The sequence below is a fragment of the Homo sapiens genome, chromosome 16 (genome assembly GCF_000001405.40).
Source record: "Homo sapiens chromosome 16, GRCh38.p14 Primary Assembly".
NCBI classification, from domain to species: Eukaryota; Metazoa; Chordata; class Mammalia; order Primates; family Hominidae; genus Homo; species Homo sapiens.
In genome coordinates, this window is record NC_000016.10 from 33,023,254 (window position 1) to 33,033,034 (window position 9,781).

The following is a 9,781-nucleotide window of genomic DNA, read 5'->3' on the forward strand; positions in this document are numbered from 1 at the left end:
CTTTTATTTCATTGAGCAGTGGTTTGTAGTTCTCTTTGAAGAGGTCCTTCACGTCCCTTGTAAGTTGGATTCCTAGGTATTTTATTCTCTTTGAAGCAATTGTGAATGGGAGTTCACTCATGATTTGGCTCTCTGTTCGTCTGTTATTGGTGTATAAGAATGCTTGTGATTTTTGCACATTGATTTTGTTCCTTTCCTCCGTATTTTAAATTAAGGTATATTTTCAGGAGTTTAAATTTCCAAGTTATAAAATAAAATGTATTGACTATCTTTCATCTTTTAAAATTCATCTTATGAATTTTATTTATGTAAGTGTTTTGTCTTAGTCTTTGTGACTGGCTTGGAAGATTATATGAACAGATTTTCTTTTGACCTCTCTACATATGGGAAGAGCACAAATGTTGTTTCTATTATAGTATATACATGCAAAACTTGAGTTATAGTGAAATGGTTTAACCAAGATTACTCATTAGGGTTTTCAGGACCTTCCTCATGCATCCCTCTGATCATGTTTCTCTGCTGCTCAAAAGCTTTGTCCCTTTTCCTGCACAGAAAGTGTACACATCTTACCCAGTCACTAGTGGCCATCAGGCTCTCATAAATCCTTTTTGCTGTTTATCCTAGTCACAACTCTTGTCCAACCTGTTATTTCCAGCACACTAAACCATACACTACTTAATGCTCTGCACTTTTCACTTTTGTGCCTTTTGCTAAACTGTCATCTTTGAAGACCTATTGCTGCTTATTGCATGAAGCTTTATTTGATGGCCTCAGTCTAACACAGCTATTTATTTTTCAATTGGATTTAAAATTGTCTCTCTCTCTACATTGGATTAGAGTTGCTATGTTCCTGTTCTACATTCCTTGCTAGACTGAAAGCTCACTGGCCAGGTCCTATTCATGCTTATTCATTGTAAATTTCTCCACATTGGAGGCATCCTGTTCATCAATGAACACATGAATAAAACTTGGTGTTGAAACTCCAAGTTATCTTGACCTGCAACTTCACACACTCAACTATATAAAATTGGGATCAAATAAATATTCTCGCATAACTATTAGTAAGTCAATATTTACCTTATATTGTAAGTTTCATCTATAAATATGCATCTTCCATTGCCTGATCCCTAACAAAACATAAAAACTAAAAAATCTTAAGATTATTAAAAATATAGGCAATGTTAAGATCACCAGCTTTTCAAATGCAGCAAAATAAATGAAAAAAAAACTTTCAACAGGGATAACTAAAACCTTACTTTTCCCACTGAGTAGATCTTCTAGCCCAATATGTTTATTCGTCTATAAGAAAATATTAACGTTCATTAATTCCCCAAAGTTTGCTGTCAGTCAAGTCTCCACTCTTTCCCTTGGGGCATGAGAGATAGTGTAGATGAGGTCCAGACATGCTCTACTCAAGGTCTCTGCACATGGCTAAAAATGTAGGTGTGAAATTCATGTTCTCAATCCATGAAACAATACTCATGAAAAATGCAACTCTGTTCCAGGACATCGTGCAGAATGAAGAAATAATGCAATTGTGGTAAATCTGGAAATTACAATTGTTTGTGGACTGCCCATTTTTTCATATGCCTTCCAATAAATCAGTTGAAAACATGTATTCTGTATAAAAATCCACAGTGTGTTAGCTCTGGGAATGCACCTTCCTCCCTCCACCTACAGGCAGAACCGTACACTTGGATCATGCACCCAGCTGCTGCTCTCTGTCTCTTTCTCTGCTCAAGGCTTAAGGCCGTGTCTCCCCAACTACATTCAGTGGAAGAAAAGATCCCCTGGACAAATAAGTTTGAGAATTGTTGTTGCAGGAATTCTCAGAACTTTCAAAACACAAATCCTCATCCGCAGGGATCTTCAGGAGGGAGATGGCTGATGCAGCACAACTTTCTTTCACAGGAGTATCTTGCAGAATACAGTATGAGATCCAGAAAGGCTGCATTGAGTCTTTTTAATGGCCCGGGCCTTGGTGGGGGTGGGGTAGGAGCTCTCCAGATAGCATCTACTGAGTAGGAACATTCAGGTTGCTTTTTTTTTCCTTACTGGCAAAACTGTGTGTGCACCATGAATGAAGCTGGTCTCCCTTATCCATATCAAAATTAAACCCAAATTAATTGGCTAAATTGGGACTCAACACCTCCAGGAGCCATGCAGAAGAAAGCACCACCACACTTTAAAATAGCTTACCTCATCATATTTGACGAAAGCAAAACGCTTATGACCAGTATGCTGCTAACACAAGTCTACAGATAATGCTGCAGGAAAAATTATTTTTCCCAGTCATAGCTAGCATGGTCCACATTTTGCATTACACTTTCCCCCCTTTTTTAAAATTTTAAACACAGGTCCTTTTCTCTTCTTTTTTAAAATTTTAATTTAATTACACAAGACGGAGTCTCAGTATTTTGCCCAGGCTGGTCTTCAACTCCTGAGCTCAAGCGATACATCCGTCTCCGCCTCCCAAAGTGCTGGGATTACAGGCCTGAGACACTGTGCCTGGCCTTACACACAAATCTTAATTCATTCTTACAATTATCCTGAGGTTAGAAAAATGGAAGGGGAAGAAAAATGGCAAGCAGGTAGGCTGACTTCGGCTTCATTATTTGGAAGGACAGTTTGCTCGGTTAAAACACACTACTGCCCACAAAGGCCAAGACAACAGAAAAATACAGACTTATATAAGTAGATTTTATATGTGACAGCAGTTTGAATGGAGACTTTTTCAATGCAAATGGCAAACAGCTGTCCTTGGGAATAAATGACAATGAATTTTTTTTTATCTCAACAGCTGTCCTGGGAGCATGTCTCTACATCTCTACCTGCATTCTGGAGTCAGGGAGAAAGCCAAAACGGACGACAAGACACTAGATCAGCCCTGTCCAACCCTTTGACTACAAGGACTTTTCCGCCTATCTGTGGTGGTGGGTATCATGAAAATTATGCACAAACCTTTTTTTTTTAAGCTCATCAGCTATCATTAGCAGTAGTGTATTTTATCTGTGGCCCAGGAGCATTCTTCTTCCAATGTGGCCCTGAGAAGCCAAAAGACTGGACACCTGTGCACTAGATCAAAAGGCTACTCCTTCTGGAAGCAATTGTAAAGAATTTCTAACATTATCTTGACATGAAAACCAATGGATAGTGGGACAGAATGCAAAATCTTCAAGAATTTTTCTTGTTGGGTTTTTTTTTTTTTTTTTTTGAGTCAAGGTGTTGTTCTGTGGCCCAGGCTGGAATACACTGGTGAGATCACAGCTCAGTGCAGGCTCAAGTGCTCCTCCCGCCTCAGCCACAGTAGTAGCTAGGACTACAGATGTGCACAACCACTCCTGGCTAATATTTTATTTTTTGTAGAGATGGGGTCTCACTATATTGTCCAGATTGGTCTCTAACTCCTTGACTCAAGGGATCCAGGACAGGATAACAGGTGTGAGCCACCACACCTGGCTATGTGCATGAACTTTTAAGACAAATACAAGGCTCCACAAAAGTTAAGGTTTTCCCACCTAATTTCCAGGGGATCTTTTGGTGCAAGGATGAGAAACCCTTAAAAGTACCCAGACATCTCCAAAGATTCAAGACAGTTCATTCGGGCTGAGCCAGCCCACTGGGCAGACTGACCTTCAAACAAGGCCCACCCGTGACATACACCAGATGGCTCTCCAAGAATCTCTCCAGTTCTCAGGGTCCCTAAGGTACTGGACAGAGCTAGGAAAGCAAACCCATTTGCTTCTTCCTGCAGGAAACCATTTGAGGTCAAGACCCCACAATCAGACAAGGATGGAGTGCCTCACCCTCAGTCAACAGGCCAGACTCAAGGTGATATAATGTCTTAACCAAGGGTGTGGGACTCCAGGTTTGAATCTGAACTCAGTTCTCCTTTGATAACCACACTTTGTTAATTTTCCTTAACAGGGGTTCCTGGCAAGTCATTTCTCCCTCAGGCCTTCGGTTTCCTCACCTACAAGATGAGAAGGCTGCACCAGATGGAAATTCGAGGCGTAAGGGGATGTCCGCGCGCAGCCCACCCCGCCCACGGGCCCCTTGAGCCTCCATCACAGTTCCCAACACGCACCTACCCCACAAATCCTGCCCAAGGTGAGGGCTGGTCCCGGGTCCTCCAGCTGCCGCATCAGCGAGTGCAGGAGGGAGGAGAAGCCTCCAAGGGGGTGACGCAGGCTCAAGGATGCAACTCGGCCAGGAGTGAACTGGGGCCCCGAGGGAGATGTCCAGTCTGGTGCTGGAGCCCAGCTCTGGTCCCTGATCCCCTTACCTGCACGGTCCGTATCTCCTGCTGGGTGAGGTCCTTGGACACAGTGCACTTGGTGGGCAGCCCGCGCAGGCTGCCAAGAGAGATGCCGATGAGCTTCTGAAGCTGCCCGCACTGCTGCAGCACCCGGCTGGCTGCGGCCCCTGCGCCTCCCTCCGCGATAGCCGCGTCACCCCCTCCACCGCTCTCCTTCTTCTCTCCCATCGGGGCCGAGCGCAGCGCAGCTCTATGCTGGCTGCAGCTGCCCAGGAACAGAGCCTGGGGCGCGGGTGTCTAGGCAAGGAACCCCCGAACCGGGAGAGCTGGACCAGGAGTGACCCTCGGCGCTGCCTTAGCCAGGACGCAGGTAGATCTGGCAGCTGAGTCTGCTGATCCCGCCCTCAGACCCGCGGCGGTGGGGGTAAAAAGTCACGGCGGTGGGGGCAAAAACACGCGACGGCAGGGTGAAAAAGCCGCAGGGGTAAAAACCTGTGGCGGCGGGAGTAAAAAGCCGCGTCGGCAAAAAGCCGCGGCGGCGGGGGCAAAAAGCCACAAAAAGCCGCGGCAGCGGGCGCAAAAAGCCGCAACGGTGGGGTCCAAAAGCCGGGGCGGTGGGGGAAAAAGCCGGGGCGACGGGGGCAACAAGCCACGGCGGCGGGGGCAACAAGCCAGGGCGGCCGAGGCAAACAGCCGCGGCGACAAAAAGCTGTGGTGACGGGGGCAAAAAGCCGTAAAAAGCCACAGCATCGGGGTCAGAAAGCCGCGACGGCCGGGATAAAAACCGCGGTGGCGGGGTAAGAAGCCGCGGCGGCAAAAAGATGCGGCGGCGGTGGAAAAAGTCGCGGCGGGGGCAAAACGGTGCGGCGGCAGCAAAAAGCCGCAGCGTCGGGGGCAAAAAGCCTCAAAAAGCCGCAGCGTCCGGTGCCAAAAGCCACGGCGGAGGGGGTAAAAAGCCGCAAAAAGCCGCGACAGAGGGGGCAAAAAGCAGGGGCGGCAAAAAGCCACGACGGCGGGGACATGAAGGCGCAAAAACCCTCCGCGGCAGGAGCAAAAAACCCTGGCGGCGGGGGCAAAAAGCGGCTGGGGTGATAAAAAGCCGCGGCGGTGGGGGCAGGAAGCCGCGTAGGGGGCAAGGAGCCGCGGCAGCGGAGGCAAAAAGCTGCGGTGGCAGGGGCAAATAGCAGCAAAAAGCCGCGGCGGCGGGGGGCAAAACGACACAAAAAGCCCTGACAGTGGGGGCAAGAAGCCGCGGCTGGAAAAACCTGTGGCGGAGGGGGAAAAAAGCCGCGGCGGCGGGGGCGGAAAGGCGTAAAAAGCCGCGGTGGCCTGGGCCAAAAGCCATGGCGGCAAAAAGCCGCAAAAAGCCGGGGCGGCAGGGCAAGAAGCCACGGCGGGAAAAACCTGCGGCGGCGGGGGCGAAAAGCAGTAAAAAGCCGCGGCGCCGGGGGCCAAAAGCCGTAAAAAGCCGCGGCGGCGGTGACAAAAAGCCGCGGCGGAAAAATTCACGGTGGCGGGGGCAAAAAGCTGTGGCAGCAGGGGGAAAAAGCCGCAAAGGCTAGGGCAAAAAGCCGCGGCGGTGGGGGGAGAAAGACCCAAAAAGCTGCGGCGGCAAAAAGCCACGGCGGCGAGGGCAAAGAGCCCCAAAAGCCGCGGCGGCAGGGGCTAAATTCCGCGAGGCCGGGGGCAGAAAGCCGCGGCGGCGGGGGCAGAAAGCCGCAAAAACCCGCAGCGGCGGGGTCAAAAATCCACGACGGCAAAAAGCCGCGTCGGCGGGGGCAAAATAGTGGAAATGGGGTAGACAGCCAGCACAGCTTGGCATTCCTGGAGTGTGATGTGGAAGGAAAAGTGCAGAGGAAGACAAACAAAGATGTAAGTAGGCTTGACTCAGTGCAGCTAAGAACCCACATGTTATCTTGATGTTATGTAGCAGCTAATTTTTTGTATTTTAGTAGAGAAGGGGTTTTACCACGTTGGCCAGGATGGTCTCGATCTCCTGACCTCATGATCCCCGCACCTCAGCCTCCCAAAGTGGTGGGATTAGAGGCATGAGCCACAAAGTGCTCAAAAAATCTATTAATTAAAAAATGTGTATGTAGCCGTCTTTAATCTACCATGTCCATTAGCAGATAAATACTATAAGCAAAATAACAACAATGAAAGAAACATAGACTTAGAGTAGATACTCTGATTTATTTAATAAAAATTTGAAAATAGACCAAATTACTCTATGATAAAAAAAAATCTGTTACTATTGAGGATGAGGGTTAGTGTTTGGAAAGGGGCAGGAGAAGTATCTCTATTTTTAGTAATGTTCTATTTTCATACATGGTTATAAGCAAATACATGTGTTTCATTAATGAAGCTATCCATATTTAATCATTGTACTTTTCTGCATGTATATGTCAATAAATAAATTATATACAGCAAAAATAGACAAAAACACAAGAAGACATACACAAATGTTAAACCTAGAGAGAAATTTGCATATAAGTAAGTCTCTGAATGACTGGTAGAACAAACCGAAAAATAGGATGGAGAGGTTTGGAACAGCATGATTAGCAAAATTGACATATCTGTCTTTTAATATAGGTAGAAACAGAGTTAGATAAAAAAAGGACTTGTCTCGGAGCATGATTTCTGAAAATAGTGGAATCGAGTTTGAATCTAGTAAGTACATATAAATAAATGTCTTAAAACTCCTCTTATGTTAGCTAATTAAGAAATATTATTGTAATAGACATTAGAAAATATTTTAATAAATTGAGTGCATTTCACACGCTAAGGAAATGATCTTACTTGATTTGATAGTTGAATTAGATACATATATACCTATAGGTAGTTTAAAATATTTCTAATAACCTTATATACTTTTAAAAAGCATTGATATATGTTTGCACTATCTGGTCTATAGAGTACACATACCAAACATGATTATAGCTCTTCTGCTATAAACTTCAAATGTCTAATTAATACAAAAATCTAGAATGAGAAGAGTTCTTTGCAATTTTTTTTTTTTTACCAAATAGAATATAGGAAAGATAGCTGCAAATATACCTGACACACTTATCTGTGAGTATGGTGGTAGCCTTTTTATTTTATTTTATTTTGAGAGTGGGTCTCACTTTGTCACCCAAGATGGAGTGCAGTCATGTGATCAGAGCTCACTGAAGCCTTCACATACTGTGCTCAAGCGATTCTCCCACCTCAGTCTCCTGAGTAGCAGGGACTGCAAGTGCATGACACCATACTAGCTAATTTTGTAAAGATGGGGTTTCACCATCTTGCCCTGGCTGATCTCCATCTCCTGGACTCAAGAGATCTGGCCACCTTGGCCTCCCAAAGTGCTGGGATTATAGTTTTGGGGCACCGCGATCAGCTCAGCCTTAAAAAAGGCAGACTAGAGATCTTTATCTATGTATATCTATCTATAAAATAAACATATGTGTTCCTTATATAAAAATATGTTATTATATAAAATTTTTTTTCAAGGTAGAAATATATAAAGAGGGTGCATGTAGAGCCTGGGGCATTGTGTAGTGAAGCTCAAGGTCTCTGAAGAAATGCCCCTTGCCTCTTTTGTCTGGGCTAGAATCCGAGAAGGGAAAGCAGCAGATGCACTGGTTCCCAGGTTCTTCGCATCCTACAGAGAGAAACTTGTTTGAGCTAGGGTAGTGTTTAACACCCTTGTTCTTACTCTTCTGTTTTATGTAGTAAGCAGAGACTAGCTTCATGAGAACAGACAGTGACAGTCAAGGCTGTCTGTTATTTTGTGCAGCATTCATTGAGAAATTCTAGCACCTGAAGACCTCTGGGCCATTTGAGGGTAGGTGCAGGGGAGGAAAGGGAAGTTTGCATCCCTCCTGATGTGGAGAGAACCCGTGGGAAGCACAGACCTTGTCCTAACTGAAGGCAGACCCCCTTGCTAACCAGCTTCTCATCAACCAACCCTGGATGAGTTTCCATGTCTATTTACTAAATAATCCTTATTGCTCTTCTTCATATGGGCAAAGTATGGTTTACAGGGAATATTGTTCCTTTGAGCACCCATCGTGGAAACCCCTTCCTGTTGTGGGAAAACAGGCTTCCATATGTGTCTTATTGGGAAACACATAGGCAATTTCTATGTTTTTACTGCATCTATTTCAGGGATTTGGGAACTGAATAGTGCCCATCAAAGTCTCACCTGATGTTGGAAATTGATCTGAGAGCGCGGAAGGACAGAATTCTTTCTTTGTTCCTGGGCAGCGGTGGTTGAGGGATCATTTTGTGGCAGCTACAGTGGGATCATTTGTGGCAATGATGGAGGCAGAATGGAGGGCTCAGTACCAAGACAAGGAGAGACTTGGCCTCACAATGGCAGCATTGCAGGGGTGCGCTCTACAGAGCATTTGCTCACATGGTTTTGGGCATTGTCTCTAACTACATTGCTTCCCCGATAGTTTGACCCATTCTAACTAACTCCTTTTCTCTTTAAAAAAGCAAACTTCATTTGTATGACTTGCAATTGTAAACGACACCAATTGGCCAGTTATCATTCAAATTCTCTGTTACTTAATCCTGCCTTTTCCTGACATATGCAACTTTCGCCTAAAAAATTGGACACTTTGTTGCTTACTCATTGTCTTTACACATTTTAAAATGTTGCTTTGTGCCCCCAATCCCTAACTACATTTTCAATGTTTTGCAAGTGGAGTCCATGTGTTCTTGATTTACATGAAGCTCAAAATAATGGTTATAGTAACTAGTACTTCATAATTAAGCAAAAAGCTCTTATTGAAAAATGACAGAACTATACATAGGGATGAGAACATGGAGAGATATTTCGTGAGATCACAAAGTTATGGTATGGCAGAAGTAGAACGCTGAGTAGAGACTCTGTGTTCCCAATCATTATTTCTACCACCAGCTTTCTATTTTGATGTTAATAATGTTCTTATGTGGGAAACCCTACATATTTGCCAATGTTTAGTTCATTGACAAAGAAATAGAAAGAGCTTCAAGAACACTCTAATCTTTAAAAAATAAAATACCTATAATTGGCCATACGAAACAATTGGTACTTGACATATACTGAGATCGTTTTATTTTGTGCTAGACAAATGAAGTCATAGAACAGAATGTGCTTTAAATATTATGAATAGTGCTTGCATGTGTGTGTGTCTATAGATGCATATTAGGCCGCTGAAAAGTTTTATTATTCTTTCCAGGAGAGAGACTGCCAACTTTTGAACCTAACTAGAACAAGTATATTGCTTCTTCATATTTTTATTAAGGCAAAGAGAGTCTAGTTAAAAATAATTCAAATTGTGTTGGAAATGCTATAAATTGCTGTGAAGAGAGTTGCTGGCTGTGGCTTGTCAGAGCAAACATATTGTACAAATCTTAGGGGAGAATTAGTGCTTGTGCATTAAAATCAAATCATCTTGCAGCACACCGAGAAAAAGGTTAGATTTTTAAAATAATTTCAAAGTCATGAAAAGAGCAAATATGCTCCACAAAGAGCCTAGCAACCCTCAATGA

At 44.4% G+C, this 9,781-nt stretch overlaps 1 pseudogene, besides 1 other annotated feature; it reads left to right on the plus strand.

Annotated features, from left to right (window-relative positions):
- The first annotated feature begins 3,723 nt into the window (after window positions 1-3,723).
- On the plus strand, window positions 3,724-5,059 carry LOC112268181 (uncharacterized; annotated as a pseudogene).
- Window positions 7,978-8,479: an enhancer, noted in NCBI's record as "NANOG hESC enhancer chr16:33042552-33043053 (GRCh37/hg19 assembly coordinates)". NCBI's record gives its function as "activates a minimal SCP1, AML or CMV promoter by ChIP-STARR-seq in primed H9 embryonic stem cells {active_cell/tissue: H9 hESC(primed)}" and the evidence as "EXISTENCE:reporter gene assay evidence [ECO:0000049][PMID:30033119]".